This window comes from Homo sapiens, chromosome 16, assembly GCF_000001405.40.
Source record: "Homo sapiens chromosome 16, GRCh38.p14 Primary Assembly".
Classification (NCBI taxonomy): Eukaryota; Metazoa; Chordata; class Mammalia; order Primates; family Hominidae; genus Homo; species Homo sapiens.
Window position 1 is genome coordinate 51,851,388 of NC_000016.10, and position 19,256 is coordinate 51,870,643.

Sequence of the window (19,256 nt, forward strand, 5' to 3'; positions counted from 1 at the left end):
ACCACTAATGGCTTGAAAGATCGCTTTCTAACTCTAACCTTTCCTTTTGCCTCAACCTGGATTATCATTAATTTAAAAATGTACAGGATTCTCTCTCTTCAGATTTAAAATAACTCTAAACATTGCAGTTTACATTCTTGGAAGAAGCTTGAGCATAGCCTCTTTCATATTCAATCCTTACACTTTGCTTGCCTGTCCCATTTTCTTTCCCTCCCCTGTGTCGTTTGTGCAAAGCTCCATTTTCCCCTAATAGACTACAGACTCCTTTGAGGACATCACGATCCAGTACAGTGTTTCCTACCTAGTTAGTATTCATCAGCCTTTGTTTAGTAAAATTAAATACTTCACATTTAACCTCTTTAATCAAGAGAGACTGGTTTTCTTATTACTCCAGCTTCTCTTTTCTGTGTTTCTTTATAATTCTCTATGCTATATATGTAGATCTGCTGTAGGGCCACAGTGGACACTCAATATGTTTCTTGCAATTAAAATAGGGCTATCTCTTAATATAAATGGTAAAAGAAAAATCTGGGGAACTCCAGGAGAGGTGTGTGAAACTCTACATTCGATGACAGTCCTCAGACATGGACATCTCCATGCCCAATTAGGGCGTGGTAGGCGCCTGTAATCCCAGCTACTCGGGGGGCCGAGACAGGAGAATCACTTGAACCTGGGAGGCAGAGGTTGGGGTGAGCCGAGATCGCACCACTGCACTTCAGCCTGGGTGACAGAGTGAGACTCTGTCTCAAAAAAAAAAGAAAAAAAAAGTCACATACACTCCATAAAAGTAACTGCAAATTACCAAAAAGAAATAAGGATATGAGGTGATATTTAAAGACAATTTAAACCAAAAAAAAAATTTTGTAGTAGCTTTAGTCGAAATTTCATTTGTCTGGAAACAACCTGAATTTCCATTAATTCAAAATTGGCTGAATAAACTGTGGTACAACTCTGCTACGGAATATTATACAGTTCTTATAAAGAATAATCTAGCACTTCACTTACTGACCCTAAAGGATTTTCATGGTGTATTTGTTAAATGCAAGAGAAAAAGTTATGGAGAATACAGTGTGCTCTATATAAGCCTATTTGTATAAAAGCAAATATGTTTATAAGCATTTATTTATATAAGCATGGAGAAATACATGAAAGGATACACACCAGGCTGTTAAAATCTGTCATCATAGTGGGGTGGGAATAGGAGGGTTGTGATGGAAGGTAGTCATTAACTTTTCGTTTATACTTACTTACATTGATTCATTCTTTGCAATGAGAGCCTTGCTTTTGAATAAAGTAGATTAAAAACTAAAGACGAAAATAAAGTGTGAAAATTTCCTCTAGAATAGGGCACATATTCCAGCTGGACAATAATCTTTAGTGTCTTCAGTGACTAGTGAGTTAACTTTCTTCTCTTGCTCTGGGTCCCCTGGTGAGCTCATCTCTTGCTCACAAATCCAGTTATCAAGAATAAATGGCAGACTGCTGGGAATTGACCCTAAGGAAACAATCCAAGAAGAGAACTCAGAGAAAGCTCCCTCCTTGGGGACATGCATCACATTGCTATTTTGTAAGACTATAATATTGGATACAACATAAATGTCCTACAATAGAAGAAGAGCTAAATAAGTTATGATACGTTCACTTGGAAATATTAGGAGCCATGAAATGGAAGCATTGACACATTACAAAACCCCAAAAAATGCTTACATTACAATATTAATAGAAAAGCACAGTATGTAAAATTAAATTATATGACTACAATGATGTGAAAATGATCAGAAAAAGACAAGATATAAAGAGGCACACCCAATACACTAAAGCATCTTACAGTGATACTTAGAAGCAGGTCCCAAAACCTCATAAACTCAGGTTATTACAGGAATATTAAGCAGTCACTCTGGGGAACCACTCCTAATTGTATCAATCGCTGGGGGGATGTCAGTCTTAGAATTATACATCTAACTTAAAATCATTTACAGTACAGTACTTTGGCCAATACTTTCAAATAGCCCGGGAGCAGCAGCATCAGTTTTCTGTTTTTTTTTTTTTTTTTTCTCTTGCCAATTGCACTCTAAGAGAGAGTTGCACATATCTTGAGAGGTAAGAAAGAAAATGGGATGCTTTTGTTTATTTTGTAAACTTAGTCAGCGTCTTGTGAGATCTCAGGGGAAATGATTTTTATTCATTCTAAATATCATGAGATGTTCAAGATCCCAAGGAAAAAAATACTTAAGGTCAACAAAAAGAGGTTGGCCTGTAAAAAATGGTAGACAAAGCACTGGAAAAGGAGCTGGGAGGTCTTGTATTCACTCATTCATCCACTCATTCATTCATGTCTATTGTGTGCAACCCCCTGTGTTGAGCTTGGGAACATACAATTGTTAAAGCAATCTGGCTCCTACTATCAGACAGCTGAAGCTGCGATCAGAAGCCAAGGACATTCTTGAGTAATTATAACATAGTGTTTTAAGAATGGTGATAAAAATGATATTATGGAGTGTGAAGGAAGAAATATCTGATCCTCTTTGAGACAGTAGGTTTGACTTCAAGACAAGGGGAGCCCTAGAATAACTGGGTTGCACAGTGCTGGCTATTAAAAGGCAAGATAATGTGGTGGTTCAGAACATGATTTTGGTGGCAGGCTCCAGTTCCATTCCACTCCACCAGGAAGTGTGTGACTTTGTTGAGAAAGCTACTTAACTTCTATAGGGGGATTTCCTTGACTGGAAAAAAGATAACAACATCACACACTGCATAAGACAAGTATTATGGTTCCAGGAGAAGTTGGCCATGCAGGCTTTAGCATAGTGCATGGCACATAACTCAGGCTAAATAAGTTAAACATAACTTTTTGGCCTCAGTTATCTTGAGCAGAAGAAGGTGGTTCTGCTGCGGAATATAATTCATTCGCTACTTCAGGCACTGGATTTTGATCTGCAAGGTGTACAGCTAGGTTCTTAAGCATTTCGACCTGTTACTATTAATCATTTGCCTTGGAAACATTTCCGGAGTTGGTATCCCAAGTGAATTCTGTCAGTGGGCTGTGCGTGTGTGAACAGAAGGGATCTTAGTTGTGTAGGAGCCACTCTGCACTTCCCTGGTGTGATACAAATTATAGGGAGGTTGTGGGACTTCCTCTTGCTCCCATGGGCTCCTCCAGCGAGGGCTTCTTGACAGCATTGTGGTTTGAGTTGTCATCACAACTAACCACTCATTTTTCAATTGAAGCCCTGTGTCACTCTGCACATCCCTGCAGAGCTGTGGGAAAGATGCCTGCAGAGAAGTAACAGGCAGGAAGACATGCCGCCCTAGGGGAATGAAGAGGACATCCAAGCTGGGGTGAGGGGCTGGGCATGGAGGCGCTGGAACAATGCTGGCCCTAGTAAAGCCAAGCACCTAATACACAAAACTAAAATGTGTTCTTTGCTTTCCAGAACAGCATGAAGTTGCTTTGGGTACTTGCATAGTCTGGGATGGGGCTAGATTCCAAAGCAATGGCTGATTTCCTGGAGTCACTGCAGTGTTATCCCTGATCAGCAGGGCCCCACATGCTCATTTCATTAATGAAGGCCTGTCTTCACTGAGCTCCAAATTTCTTATATGAATTACTGTTTTAATCAAATACCATTATCATGTCCGTTTCATAGATTTAAAAAAATCTGAGACACACAGAGACTGAGGGCTTTATCCAAATTTGCACAGCTAGCAGGAGGTGGATCTAGGGTTCAGATCCTGGCAGTGACAGTGCTTAATCTCTCTGCTATGCTGCTGCCTCTCAATTATAACATTTCAAAAATGAGTACTGGATCAATGTGACACTTAAAGGGATCACATTGCCAGCTAAGGTCTTAAATGGAAGACTGAAGGCCTGGATAAAAACAGAGAAGTTTCCTGGAGGGTCCTACTTAAACTCTAAATAAACCTTAGCTACATAGCATGAATTAGTTTCATCACATCAGCTCCTTACTTTGCAAAGGAGAGTTAGGATGAATGAAGGTGAGGGATTTTGTTGTTTTGCTCTTGAGAGAAAGAGGCCATAGAGAGCTGATACCTGGGATTCTGGAGAATGGGTGAAAGCACAGAGAACCAAGACATAGGTGCTTGGAGTGGAATTACGGGGTGAGGGGGTAGAGAAAAAAGGAAACAAAGGACTCAAAAAGCCTCAGTATGTCTCCAACACGATGTGTTTAGGGCTGGTTCTGCTGATTCAAAAGGTTTGTTCTCTACTCTTTTTGTTCAGAGGAGATTGCCTGGACCTCCTTAATTTGGATATACTCAAATTCTACAGTTCAGCAGAACTGTGCCTGAGAGCTCAAAGTGGTGTTTGGTTAAGCCTAGGCCTCAGAGAATATCAAAGCCAAAGCCATCCTCAGGAGCACTGGGTCTTGCCCAAGCTGATGGGGATTTACTGATCACCTAAGTGGCAGCACCTGTTCTAGATAACAAGTGGCATCAGGACACTGCTACGTGGTGTACTGGGTGGTGCTAGACAAGGAGAAATTGAGTCACCAGTCCCCCAGGAATAACAGCTGCTTGAAGTACTGGCATCAAGCTCCTCTTGCTGGGCCATTTTAGTTTTGAACAGATATCTACCTTACAAAATAGAGATTGGGTCTTGCTAAGTTACCCAGGCTGGTCTCAAACACCTGGCCTCAAATGATCCTCCTGCCTCAGCCTCCCAAAGTGCTGGGATTACAGGTGTGCACCACTATACCTAGCCAGATAATCCTTGGGTGAAATGAAGATATACCTGAAAGAGAGAAGTGAAGAGGTATTGAGTGAGGGATAGGGAGATTAGAAAAGGAAGAGGAGGCCCTTCCTTTTCTTAGAAAAAGTGAGGAGGCCCTTCCTTTTCTTAGAAAAGGTGAGGAGGCCCAAGGGTGAGGAGGAGAGAGAAACTTGGCTGGAAGGTAAACAAAAGAGGCAACCAGAGACAATTTCCTGTGGTTGAGGAAGTCTGAAGATCTGGAATGTCCACAGTCAGCTTTAGGTTTTTATTCGATTTTTCTGGAAGACTATCTTCTCTCCCAACATCTTCCTCTTTTTTTCTCTCTCTTTGGTAAAATGTGCTACATTCAATTGCATTGTGTGAATGGCATTTGGGGGACATTGAGAAAGTGGAGCTGAGTTGCTTGTTTGGGATTACAAAAAGCAAAGACTTAAGAACTAGCTGCAAGAGGAAGACATAACAGAGACTGACACCAAGCAGGTGCGGGAACTCAGAGTCAGGCCTGACCAAGCAAGGTCCCAAGACCAAATCCCTGGAGCAGTGGAACTTTAGCACACCAGAATGCTTGGAAGGCTTGCTGGAACACCATTACTGGGTCCGGGATGGGGCCGGAGAATTTACCTTTCTGACAGGTCCTCAGGAGAGGTGGATGTTGCTGGTTCAACCTGGAAGAACACTTGATATGGTTTGGCTGTGACCCCACCCAAATATCATCTTGAATTGTAGCTTCCATAATTCCCACATGTCATGGGAGGGACCCAGTGGGAGGTAACTGAATCATGGGGGTGGGTCTTTCCCGTGCTGTTCTCATGACAGTGAGTAAGTCTTATGAGATCTGATGGTTTTATAAATGGGAGTTCCCCTGCACAAGCTCTCTTGCCTGCCACCATGTAAGACATGACATTGCTTCTTCTTTGCCTTCCACCAGGAGGCCTCCCCAGCCATGCAGAACTGTGAGTCCGTTAAACATCTTTCCTTTATAAATTGCCCAGTCTCAGGTATGTCTTTATTAGCAGTGTGAGAACAGACTAATAGAACACTGGAGACCTTTGGAGAAATGCCAAGTGTCCTACTAAATGTGGATGAGGAAATTACTTGATTTTGTCTCCAAGGAAAGGATAATTTCTACGTTATACAAGGGGTGACATACAAAGAGCCACCAGCAAGTCTCCAACAAAGTACTTTGGAATTTGGAAGGAGAAGAGAATGCAAATAATTCCATTGCACGTAGTGCTAACTAGATACTGCCAGGCTCCCTGTGGGGTTAAGAAGTGTGACAACTTCTCATAGCTTATTGTAAAGGAATCTAATTAGGGGCCAGGAAACCTAAGTTTGGATCCTGGCTCAAACTCTTACCATCTGTGTGGCCTTGAGGGGCAATTCATTAACCTCTCTGACCCTGTTTTCTCTAGTTTACACTGGGGGACTTTTCACTGATGATTGCTACTACCACCATGCTAGCTTCCTGGTCCACATGTGGGTCCAAGATTCTGTCCCTGATTCTCTGTAGCATACCTGAGAATAGGCTAGGTGTCTTTGGGTTTCTGGAGATAAAAATTCGAGGGATATTTGCATGCAGAAGGTTTCTTGGGGAGTCCTCTAGTGAAAAACACCTGTAAGAGAATGAGGAAAGCCCAGGTGGGCAGAAGAAGTTGGACTGTGATGCAGTTGCAACAGAGGTCTCAGACTAACCTATTAGGAGCTCCAGAGCAAGGATGGTCCTTTCCAGTTGTCCCAGTTGGAGGCAAGGGAGCTGTGTCTTCATACCCTCAAATCTATGCTGGGTATAGCATTGTCCCTGAGGAGAGGGTTTAAGCTTGGGAAGGAAAATCTCTTCCACAGGGTAATGTCATAGCTGTAAGCTGTCATTAGTCAACACTCCCTATAGTGAGGGAAATGAGTGTCTCAGTTCCTAAGTAGGAGGCAGTACTCACTACACAAATTGCAGGGCACTCTGTTAAAAAGTATGGAGAATTTCAAGATGATGACAGCAATGCAAAATTGCAGGGCACACAAATTGCAGGGCACTCTGTTAAAAAGTATGGAGAATTTCAAGATGATGACAGCAATGCAGTAAACCAAGCATGGAACCTTCTAAGCACCGGGCCCTGTGCATCACTCATTAAGCTGGTGCTGATTGTGGACCGGAGTGGTATCTTGCAGCGTCCACTTGGGTGTTGTAAAAAAGAAATAAGAGAGAAACCACAAACAGGCTAACTGGCTTACAAAATGCACCTCCTCTTCAGCTTGGGGTCCCTTAACAGGTAACTTCAACATAGCTTTTGTGGCAAAGGCTTGTCTTTTAGCCATCTCCAAGACACTGTAGAATCCTCAATGCAGACACATAAACCAAGAGACATTCTTTGGACATGTGACACCAAAGCCGCTGGGTTTTGATTCTCAGCATCATGCCTTCCTCTTACCTGGGGGATACACAGTGGGAATGCCCATTTCTTTCTGGAGAAGTCTTACTCGCTTATGGTATGTGGCCTTACCCAACAGGCAGTGACCAAATAATCATCTTTCCCCCTATGTGGGTGGAGCAGCTGACATCCCTTCCAGAGGTACACAGGGAAGGGACAGGGGACGTGCGTCTCCATCAGCCTCCTCTCTCTTCCTCCACACCTAGACTCCCAGCCTGCCCAGGTGAGGCCTTCTCCTGCCTCCATTGCTCACTTATTTCTCAACCTCAGAGTCATGCAAGTCCCTTGAAATCAGTGAAAATAAATGTTTTGTTTGATTATTTTTTCACCAGCCAAACCCTATGGTTTCTGGACCCTGTCTTTCAGTTCTTTCAAATAAAACTTGAAGCGAAGAATAATCCCCTCTGCACAGTCTATCAGAGTTTCATTTTCTCTCCCTTTTAAAAATGTGTTCTAAACCTGATTTGGGGGGCCCCCAGAGCCTATTAAACTTGCTCAATAAGATGCAGTGTTTGCCACTCGCTCTCACACAAGCCTTCTATTCCTACTCACAGCCCCACTTGCTTTCCTAACTTCTTTCCCTCTTTATTCTAGTTTCAGAATGTTGGTGAGTTGGTTGGATTTCCTTTTTATTTTCTTTTACCTATTCAGTGACTTGAAGTGTTTTATATTTCACACTAGGCCATGGGCAAGAGACAGCCTTCCTTGGATGTCCTTTTCTTGCTCCGAAATGCATCTTTTTTGGGTTCATGAGAGGCAAGATCAAGGTTCAGCTCTTTCACACACCTTCTAGCCCCACTCCAAAAATATGAAAATGAAAAAAATTCTAGCCACAAAAAATGGATATCATTAGCCCTCTGCTAGAGTCACCAATTATGGTCTGTAAAGAAAAATAACTGATTATATAAACTTACAAAGTATTTATGCAAGCATCCTTTTAAGTGCTATGTGTGTGTACATGTATGTATCTATGTGTATGAGATATATGCACAAATATATATATATACTCAGTGATTATATATGATGTAACCTATAGTAGTTATAATATATAATCACTAATACAATATAGTGATATATATGTATGTAACATACATCATATGTAATCACTTAGGAGATAGATATGTAAATGATTATGCATATATTTATTCATTTACTCTTTATAACAACTTTACAAGGTAGCTATTTTAATTTCACATATATATAGTACACTATTATATACATGTTATAATATATATACACATACATTATCTGTAAAATCACTTAGAAGATATTTATATATAAAAATGTATATTTTGATTTAATCTTTCTGAAAGCCCTATGAGGTAGCTATCATAATTATTCCTGTGGCTCAGATGAGAAAACTGAGACATAGAGTGAAGTCCTGTAACCTGTCAACTCAATTAGCTGGTGAGAGGCAGTCTGGCTCCAGAATATGCACATCTAGCCCCACCATCTACTGCCTCTTAGTGCAGATAGAAAGTATCAGTCCACAAGGACTCTGATGAACATAAACTAGACATAATCTCTGGGCAGGAAAATATGATTATACTTTTTATAAAGTATAACATGATGATACCTTCATGTACATTTTGTTAAGTGTGTAATATGCATATACTTTTGTAGACTTTTGAGTGCACTGTAGCCTGCTTTGAGAAAAACGTGGATAAACAGAAGGAGATAGCCACCTTGAAAACAGACAAGGATGCCCAGAAAGCCAGAAGCTTTCTGTGTGTCTCTGGCTCTCACTAGGCAGGATGCTGATTCAGAGCATCACAGACATTCAGACTCTGCTCTCGCTTCTCCATCACAGAGGCCTCGGCATGGCTTGGATAACATATTCCTTATTGTGCCCAGATTAATTGTTCACCATGCTTCCCAGGAATTCTGATACTGGGCAGAGAACTCTAAAAATGGCATCTGATCCTTTTGGTGCCTAGGATAAGATATCCTCCACTGTATACCAAGAGATTGTGGAGGAAGGTTAACAGAAAATTATCTTTCATTAGTTCAACTGACATGAAATGCATACAGATGTTACATGTGTTTCTCGATCCTTGAAGTGAAGATTGTTATGTCTTCTATCCACACTCTCATCCAGGCAGAACCCTTAATCACAATTGCTGAGACTTTCTGGGAACTTCATGGCTATATGTGCCTGCCACCTGTTCTTCCTTGTATCTTCCTCTAGTCTAGACCATGTTATCTCAGGACGAATTCCAGCCTCTTCATAAATTCCACAAACTTCCAGGTCATGAGAATAGTAGACTTAATGGAATTTTGGCAGGTAGGTGAGAAGGTATTTCTATCACAACAAACCATACTTTGTATTGAATATTAGACATTTTCATTCTTGAAATTTCTAACTGGCTCATATCCCATATTTTTCACTGATGACTTCACAACATCCGCCAGCTCCCAAGCCTCTGTGCTCCCTTCTCAGAAGCCTAAGCAGAACCCTCTTCTTAAGTACAAACCAGCTGCCCTGGAAACACATATATTTACTTTTTCTACTTTATTTTAGTTACTAAGGTTTTCATTGTTGTTGTTGTTGTTTATACAAGGTCTCTGTCACCCAGGCTGGAGTGCAGTGGCACAATCATGGCTTACTGCAGCCTCAACCTCCTGGGCTCAAGCAGTCCTCCCACCTTAACCTCCTGAGTAGCTGGGACTACAGGCACATACCAATATGCCCGACTAATTTATTCTTTGTAGAGACACTATGTTACCAGGCTGCTCTCAAACTCCTGGCCTCAAGTAGTCCTCCTGCCTCAGCCTCCCAAAGTGTTGGGATTATAAACATGAGCCGCTGCACCTGGCCAGATTGCTTTTTAACAAATAAATTCAATTCTCTCCCACAAAAGAACTACAGTTCCAACAACTTAAGGGCATGTAAGTCTAACCTGTTGTAGAGATACTATATTTAAAGCAACTCATTGAGGCAGAGTGATATATTTAAAATACTAAATCTTCAGGTCTTAATAAACCTTCAGTAGTGTCCAGAAGAACCTGGAATAAAATTATATTTCTTCCTTCGGCACACAGGTTTGTATATGTGCCTCTCCTGCCTATGTCTTCAACCTCATTGGATTCCATTCTCTTCCCCTCTGGCCCCATTTCCCTCCCCCCTCCCTTTTTTTTTTCTTCTTCCTCATGAGACCTTCACTGGTCCCATTTCGAATCCTCACACATCATGGGCTCTCTCCATCTCAGGATTCTGCATCTGCTGTTCTCTGCCTAGAGCATTCTTTTCCAGGCTTTCCCCAGGGTGGATTCCTTCTAATCCTTCAAGTCTCAGCCCCATGCCATGTCTCTAGAGAGATGGTCTCTGATTTCATCAATCAAGTTAGCTTCACCCCCTCTCACCTGCAGTTATTCTGTCTCCCATCACCTGTTCTTCCTAAACTGAAATTACATTTTTATCTGTTTGTCCACTTGCTTTTATCACCTGTCTTCCTCAATTAGAATGTAAACGCTTTGAGAACAGGAGACCTGTCTGTCTTGGTCACCACTCTGCAGCCTGCCCATAAAATAGTACCTCGCAGAGTGGACTGCTGATGTATGTTTAACTGAATAATTGAGTGAACAGAATAAATGTGTAACCAGGAAGTGTTTGTTTCTTTCTTTCATATCTGTGCATTTATGGGGATATGTACAAGCCCATAAATACAAACACACATCTTATTCTTTCACACCAGTCATACATATCTCCTAATCCAACCACCTCAACAATCCTATGAGCAAGTATTATTGCTGTTGTTATTTTACAGTTAAGAAAATTGAGCAAGTAACTTATCTGTTAAGTTACTAAACCACCAGGTCATATAGTTAATTAAGGCTTGCATGTGCACACACACACACACACACACACACACACACACACCATCTGTGTCTGCCTGCTTTGCACATATTAAACTGATAGATTAAGTGAACCAACATAACTTAGTTTAGTTTTATTTTTAAATTGAAGTAGTCTGGGTGCAGTGGCTCACGTCTGTAATCCCAGCACTTTGGGAGGCTGAGGTGGGCGGATTGCTTGAGGTCAGGAGTTTTGAGACTAGCTTGACCAACATAGCGAAAACCTGTCTCTACTAAAACTACAAAAATTAACTGGGACGGGTGGTGCACACGTGTAACACCTGTAGTCCCAGCTACTTGGGAGGCTGAGGCAGGAGAATCGCTTGAAGCCGGGAGGCAGAGATGCAGTGAGCCAAGATCGCAAAACTGCACTCCAGCCTGGGTGACAGAGCGAGACTCTGTCTCAAAAGAAAAAATGAAGTAAATTTATATATACTGGTGCATTTTAAAGCCACATCATCACCACTCAGATGTAGTCAGAGAATATCTTGGCATCCCAGAAGGCTCCAGACTGCATGCCCCTTCTCCCAAAAGGTGATGGCTATTTTCGATCTCTACATCCACACAAGTTTTGCCTTCTGCTTGCATTTTCCGTGAATGGAACATATCCTTTTTGTTTGTTTGGCTTATTTTTTTTCTACATTATATATGGAGATTCACTCTGTAGTAGTTCAGTATTGTCATTGTTGTGTAGCATTCCATTATATGAATATACCACATTTTATCCATTCAACTGTTGATTTGATATGCATTATTTTTACTTTGGGGTTTCTATGCCAACTATTGCTATGAAGTCCTTTTTTTAATATAAGCCCTCGGTGAGCACATACAGTCAATACTATTGCATACATATGTAGAAGTGGAATTGCTGAGTCACAAGTAAAGCTTATGTTTGGCTGTAGTGGATATAGTTATGGTTTTCAAAGTTACAGTTTTGGCCAGCAGCATGTGAGATTCCTGCGTCTTCTTTGCATCCTAATAATGTAGGCATCTCAGGGGCTTTAGATATTAAGACTAGCTAGTGTATCATAGACTTTCCACTCTAAGAACACAAAGGCCCAGAGCAGCAGCTCTGGCTTAGAGTGTAGTGGTGATTTCCCGCTGGCTCCCTCCCATCACTGTGGCTTTTAGATAGCTAGGCAAGCCCAGAGGAGATGGAAAACAATTGCAGAAGGCTGCATCCACGTCAGGAGGGTGAAACCCCCATTATTATGAACAACATTAACCTTCCCTCTTCTGGGCAGAAATTGCTCCCTCTGTCAGGGGATGCCATGTTTAAAGAACCCTGTGGTCTCAAAACAACTTTGAATGTTCCAAAGAGCAAAAAAACCCATTCATCTGCTCTGCAGAACCACAACTATATTATTTGGGCTGCTGACTTGTCACCTAAATCTTCAACTTGATTTGCAAGAAGTGTACCATACCAAAGACCGGTCTCTTCCTTTTTCTGCTTTCCATATACAAGAAGAGATTATTTCAAGTCAGTTGGGAGCTTACCTCTTCACACTTCACTGTAATTTGTAATTAGCAACATGATAGGCCTGGCTTTTCCTTGTAATTTTCCAAGAAACTCCACTTTCACTCAAGGAGGGAGAACAGATACTCAGTGTAAGTTTATTTGGGTAGGTGAGATGCTCACTTTTCAGCAAAGAAATTCATGTTGGAGCTACATGTTTTACTCACTTGGAGCCTCATTCTAGTAAGAAGACTTGAAACCTCAATAAAGATGATAACCTCTGGTTACTCTGTGCTAGCCATCCGTGCTGTTTGCCAAATCTTTCCCTTCTTTTCTCTCCTGGGCATACGGTACCCCTGTGCTTCCTAGTGCCTTGTGTGGATGGAGCTGTGGCATTAATTCTGGCCTATGAGTTGGAGTAGAAATGGCATGGGCCACATCTGGACTGGAGCTTTCATTTTCTATCCCAGACCCTTCAGAACTCATTGTGGATGACAACAGCTGCTTTCATCATGGAGACTTCTCTGACCACGTGGGACGGAGCTTTAGTTGTTTTCCGTCCCTGAGGTTTTTGTATGATTTGTCATAGCAGCATAGCCTAGTCTATCAGGTTGATACACACTCTCTCTCATTCACCCTTGTGTAAATAAATCCTGGCCTGATTCATTTTGATCTCTAAGAAACTAGAGACTCCAAGATAGAGTTTCATTAAAACAAAAAGTTCTAATGTGGAATGAAAACTGTATCATTCTGAATATTGTATTTAGTTTGCCATTTATTATTTAATATTTAAACTATAAACAGTACATATTTGGTAAATAGGCAACCATGTCAATAACAAGAAGGAAGTGTGAGGAAGAGCTAATAGGAGATGAAAGGAACACTATTTTATCTGAAGATGTTCACAGTGAACTGCTGACACAGGGATTTCATGGCGGACTGAACAAGCAGAAGTGGGAAGCATTTAGGAAGGATAGGATCAGTTATTCAGAATAGCCCTAAATGATGATTTCCTCTCCACTCACTCACATGTAAACTTTCCATTAAGGGGGAAAGTGGGAGGGGAGGAGGGTAGGGTGGGGAAGAATGAGTTTCCCTAAATGATCCTTTATACTAAGATGTCTAGGGGAACACAGTTTTGAGCATAGAAGAAAAGAGATGAAACCACCCATGTAATAGGCTTGTTTTATTTTAAATCACCTTTGAGAGCTGAAGAGGTCAGGGATTAAGTGATTCCTCTTGGGGTAAACTCTATTTCTACTTTTCTCACTGTTGTAATCTTAGTGCTGAATGTAATACTTGGAATATAGGAGGAGCTTGATAAGGTTGTAAAATGAATGGCTGGGTGGGAAAAAAGTTGACATTGAAATACCCTCACTGCAAGCTGAAAGTCATGTTTTTTTTCTTTCTTGTTCCAAAACTTTGCAGAAAAATCTCCCATGACCGTTCCATACATTGATCTAGAAACAGTGAGCTCCTGAGTTTGTGGCATGCTCACCTCCATAGATAGCTATTATTATAGCATCTGTTTCCTAGGTATAGTGAAGTGCCAACTCCATGTACCAAGGGATGCTAGTGTGGGTGCCCACTGATTGATGAAACCGAAATCCAGCCTTCTACTTCGACACACACCCACAACATAAGAGGAAAGACCAGCTGAAGTCCAGGCTCGGGCTATCAGGATTATAGTCCCAGCTGTGTTGCTGTGTCTTTCCTTTCTAGAGTCCCTTTGTTTCCACCTCTGTAAAATGAGATTAGAATACTTTAAAAAGTGTGTACTAAGAATCACCAGGGCCTTTTTAAATAGGCAGATTACAAATTGGCACACCCAGAGTTTCTGATCCCCGAGCTCGGGGTGGGGTCAAGGAATCTATTTTTTAACAGACCTCCCAGGTCATATAGGGCCATGGCTGATTTCTGACAACACACTTTAATATCATCAAAATGGAGAATCTTTAAGTTGAAAGTCTGATGGCCAATATTTCCATCAAATTAACCGCATAAATATCTCATTCTCTCCCAGAAGGTATTTTTAGGTGTTGGATAAATGAGTCAATCCCTGTTAATATGAGATTACTTTTGAGTAATGGAACATTGTAGCCCATATAATTAATGCGTCCTCCTTCCTCTTGTCAACTCTGCATGAAGGCCCTAGGAGGGCCCTGCGTCAGCATTTCACACAGGCATCTTCAGATGAAGCAGGGTTCCTTTCATCTCCTTTTTTGGGCCTCTTTATATCTGCTTACCACCAACTTAAAAAGGCTGGTGTGGGGGTTTCATTAAGACAATTTCTTAAAATTGTTTAAAGATACATCCCTGAATTCCTTTGGTGGTTTTTTTTTTTTTTTTCCTCAAAAGCAATGTTTCCTGGGCTCTTATTAAGCTCTGTACTCAAACACTCAGGCGCTTCCAAAAGAAAGAAATCGTATGTACGACTAAGTGAGCCCTCCATTTTGCCCAGGAATAACAGGGTAGATTTGGCACATGCTAAATCCTTGCCAAAAATTGAATAAATCCTAAAGGCTGACATAAGGCTTCATTTTCAGGAAAGACAGGAAAGCTTTGTAATAGAAGACATGATTTTCTTCTCTAGACCAACAATGCATGGGCTTTAGAGGATTCAAAGTCCCTAAATCCTTTCCTCCTAACTTTTCCCCGAGAGCCAATATCAGAGTTGCCTCACTTCCCAGGTTATCTCAAGTGATTTGTCATCCCAGGTATCTTGCTCAGGGAAATCTGGGGTTAACCATGTGGAGGCTGTAGATTTCAATCCTAGAATTCTAATTCCCTGCCTGAGGCTCAGGATGGGAACTGCAGGCATGATGCCCACCTCAAGGCCCGCCCGGAACAGAAGCGCTGAGCATGCAAGATATGCAGCGTGAGGTCATGCCCCAGTGACATCCGAAATGGACCCTTTTGGAAAATGTCATGAAATTCATGACCAACTGTTATCAGCCACAAGGAGAGAAGAGGCTGAAAACCAAGAGTTTGCATCCTATTTGGATATGGTTATGTTCTAGGTGACTCATTGACAGCTATCCTCATCGTCTTCTTTTCTAACTCAGTTTTACTTTCCTCAATTCAAATATTGGTATTTTGCAGCTGCTTCTACTGTAACAATGACTATAGTTCAATTATGTCCCTGCATATGTCAGGTATAGTACGGTCTAATTTAATCTTATTACACATCACCATATTGCAATTATACATGCTATCCAAGTGTTAACACATATTTAAACCTGCTATTCCTTTGTCACTGATTTACAAAGAGGTACCTGAAAAGAAGCAGATGTCATAATTACACGCTTATTCAGCTCATTTTAAACAAAGTCTCAAAGTAAATTACAGATGAGCCAGGCATGTCTTGAAATTAATGTAGTGATAGGACACTAATGCCACGATTCATTACGGTTTGTCAATGTGCCGTACTTCTGGAATGTGCGATAAAATTATATTAATACTCTGTGCTAATGAGATTAATGAATATGAACATGCAGGAGAAGAATAGGGTTCTTTGTTCAACTATTGAAAAAATAACATATAGGTAATTAAAAAGAATTAATCAAACCATGTACAGCCTCATTTATATTAAATTAATTTGTCTGGTTTCATTTCTAATAATTAATCACTTTTTGCAAATTACAAAGCACTTCAGGCGGACGGAAGCACTACTGTAGGAGTAGTGATTCAGAATATTTAGAATGATCAAGGTGGTCCCTGTGGGTTCATATTAATTAAGGTTTAACAGTTTGGAAAATTGTAGCAATATTTTATGATTCATGTAATTAAACTCTGTAACAAAATGTCACAACTGCTAGTTACTTCTGCGCCTGTGATTTATATCTTCCCCCTTTCGGAAAGGAAGCGGCAGAAATGAAGTCTTAAATGTGCCGACACTGTGGATGGGAAAACAAGCTGGTGGGTTCAATGCAAACTGAAGCACTTCACCGAGGGTGCGGTGCAACCTTCTACTCTCCAAATTCACCATGTGCTTATGCAAATTAGAGGGAGTCATATGATCTGACATTTGATGGAAGTCTGGGTGGGTGGGGTGTGGGGGGTCTTTTCTGGCACATTTGCTTATTAGATAAAAACAAAGAGGCAAGAGCCATGAGCTTCTTTCCAAATGTAAGGGGTTGTATTTGAAATTCAAATTCTCATTGAGGGAGGCTCCTGAGTTTCCAGAGCCCACAACCCCAGAAAGAAAGGTACCTGTTAGTTCAGGCATAAAACTGACTGGATTATGCGATCAGGGTACTTCCTAGAAATCATTTCCCCTAGTCCCTGGTATCCTAGAAGAAAGACTGAAATGGCTCTCCTGGGAAGCACCTCCTGAGGAATATGGTGTAGGAAAGCCACCCGCGTGCTTTCTGGCTGGGATGGCTCTCTTCCTTGGCTGCTGGAGGCACTGGAGAGAGGTCTGATAAGGATGGCTGTATGGATCAGTGGGTCTTATTCCTCATTCTGCAGCAGAAGCAACTGGGATGTTTTTTCTCCTAATATTGTGCTGGCTTCTCTGCCTTTCTCTTTCCGGTCTGTACCCAAGGCTGCTAAACCCTGGTGGCTGGCTCTCCCTGCTCTCTTTCCAGATGGATTATGGCTGGATTCTGCCATGGGGAGCTTGTACAGTCAGACATGGAAAGCCAGGAATGGGAAAGAGGTCAGGTGGTTCTCTCCCACACCTCACTGCCTTGGTGCTATGTCTCACCTCGAGGCTGAGTCCCTTGAGATGAGGCAGCCCACCTCCAGGGCTCCAGCCTTCTCTGACTCCAGTGACACTATTCCCACTCCTGCCTCCTTCTGTGCGCTGGTGCTTCTCATCGTTTCTAGCTCCTGGGTGCCTCATCATCTCTTGTTTGGTCCCTTAAGCATACTCTCCTCTGTAAACAAGCACTTTATAAAACTTTCTTTATTTGAAATATCTGATAGTGAATTCATGCCTGGGATCCACCCTCAAAGATTCTGACTCAGTTGGCCTGGGGTGGGGCCCTAACAACTGTATCTTTTTTTTTTGTTTGTTTTTTTTAAATAAGTCCTGGTGATTCATTTTGTGTGGTGGTGTGGTGGAAAATCCATACATCAGATTCTGGGAAGAGCTGGGTCTCCAAAAATAAGTTAATGCTAACATGGTACTTATTATGGGCCAGTTTCTAAGATCTTTTAAATACACTGATGTATTCCATCCTCAAAACAACTCTAATAAATAAATAGGTGCTATTATTATTCTCATTTACAGAGAGAAGTAGTTGAGGCAGAGAAAGGACAAGTAACTTGCCAAGGTCACAGAGCTGATAAGTAGAGAAGCTAAGTTTCAATGCATAGTCTGAGCTCTCAACCACCACTCTGCTAAAATCACATGAGTCTTGGCAATTTATTTTAAGGAATGATTTGGAAATGGAGAGAACCTTTTTGTTTATTCACACTTACATTCAATTATGTATTTATTCATTCATTCCAAAACATTTGAATGAATGACTATTATGTTCCAGGCATCAAGGAAGGTATCCCTCTAACCATAAGGGCTAGTAAAGTAAACAAATAAACAAATCTGTAAGTGGAAAAAAACCAAAATTTCACATGATGAATTGAATACATTGTGTTGAGGGACCCCTGGAGAATAAAAAACATGTTCCAACCAGAAACATGAAGAAGGATTTGCGGTGAAGGAGACATTAGAGATGGGCTACAAAAGAAATAGTATCATCATTAGACAGTGTGGCATGTGGCTAGATACACCCATAATACACTCTCACCTGAGGATAAGATGGTTAATACAGCAGAGGCTGGAGGGAAGGAGTGATGTGATGGTATTAAGAGTAATTTATTCCAATTGCTTGAATTTTGGATTTTGTCCCTTAAATGCAGAAGAACCAAAATTGTTTTTAAGTAAGAGAATGATATGAGTGTACTGGGGCTTACAGACATTGCTTCACTAATGTTGCAGGAAATAAACAGGAAGAAGGCACATTGACACGCGGTGCCATCCTTTAAGAGACTTGAAATTCAGGTGAGAGATGATGAGCTTAGAATAAAAGCCTCCACAGCATGGAGGAAGAAGGTGGCTGTTCCTGAGGAATTTTAAATTCATTGATTTTTCTGCACTCCGATCCAGTGCACGGGGTCTGACTATTAGACATAATGTGTGTGGTCTGGTAATGATGCCATGTGGAGCTGCCCGGTTCTACCAGGCCATTCGGGAAGTTCTGGTCCCTCTCAGTCCACACTCAAATTGGATTAACTTGGAAATGAGAAAGGCCATGCTTTTTTATGCCTGTGAGCAGATGCTAGGAATTTGGGGGCTCCCATGGGAAAGAAACATAGATCCCCAATCAGCAGCCATGGTGTTACATGTCTGTAAATAGCACTAATTGGGAACGTTTTATTTTGTTTTGTTTGCTTTATAGAATGTACCACCCCATTGTTTCACTCAAGTATGAAATCCATCCATGGCTCCTTTGTAGGCAACAACTTTGTTCTGACTGTAATACTAATGGGATGGGGCGCAAAGCCTGCTCATAGACAAATGATGATAAAGTGAAATCTTTAAGAAATCATCAAAAAAATGAGTCAGGGCCATCTGAGCTGTCTCTCCAAAGTGACAAGGCTAAAGAAGCTGCCAAGACACCAGCCCGAGGCACTGAAGCACATTTATGATTTAATTCCCATTTTGACATCAATCAACACATTAATAACTTCAGCCAAAGAAAGTAACATCCTGGGTGTGCTTTTACAGTGACATGCCTGCATCTAGGAAGCACATTTCTGATTGCCAATTAAACCCCAAACAAGCTCA

At 41.3% G+C, this 19,256-nt stretch overlaps 1 annotated feature.

Annotated features, from left to right (window-relative positions):
* Positions 3,124–3,625: an enhancer, noted in NCBI's record as "NANOG hESC enhancer chr16:51888422-51888923 (GRCh37/hg19 assembly coordinates)". NCBI's record gives its function as "activates a minimal SCP1, AML or CMV promoter by ChIP-STARR-seq in primed H9 embryonic stem cells {active_cell/tissue: H9 hESC(primed)}" and the evidence as "EXISTENCE:reporter gene assay evidence [ECO:0000049][PMID:30033119]".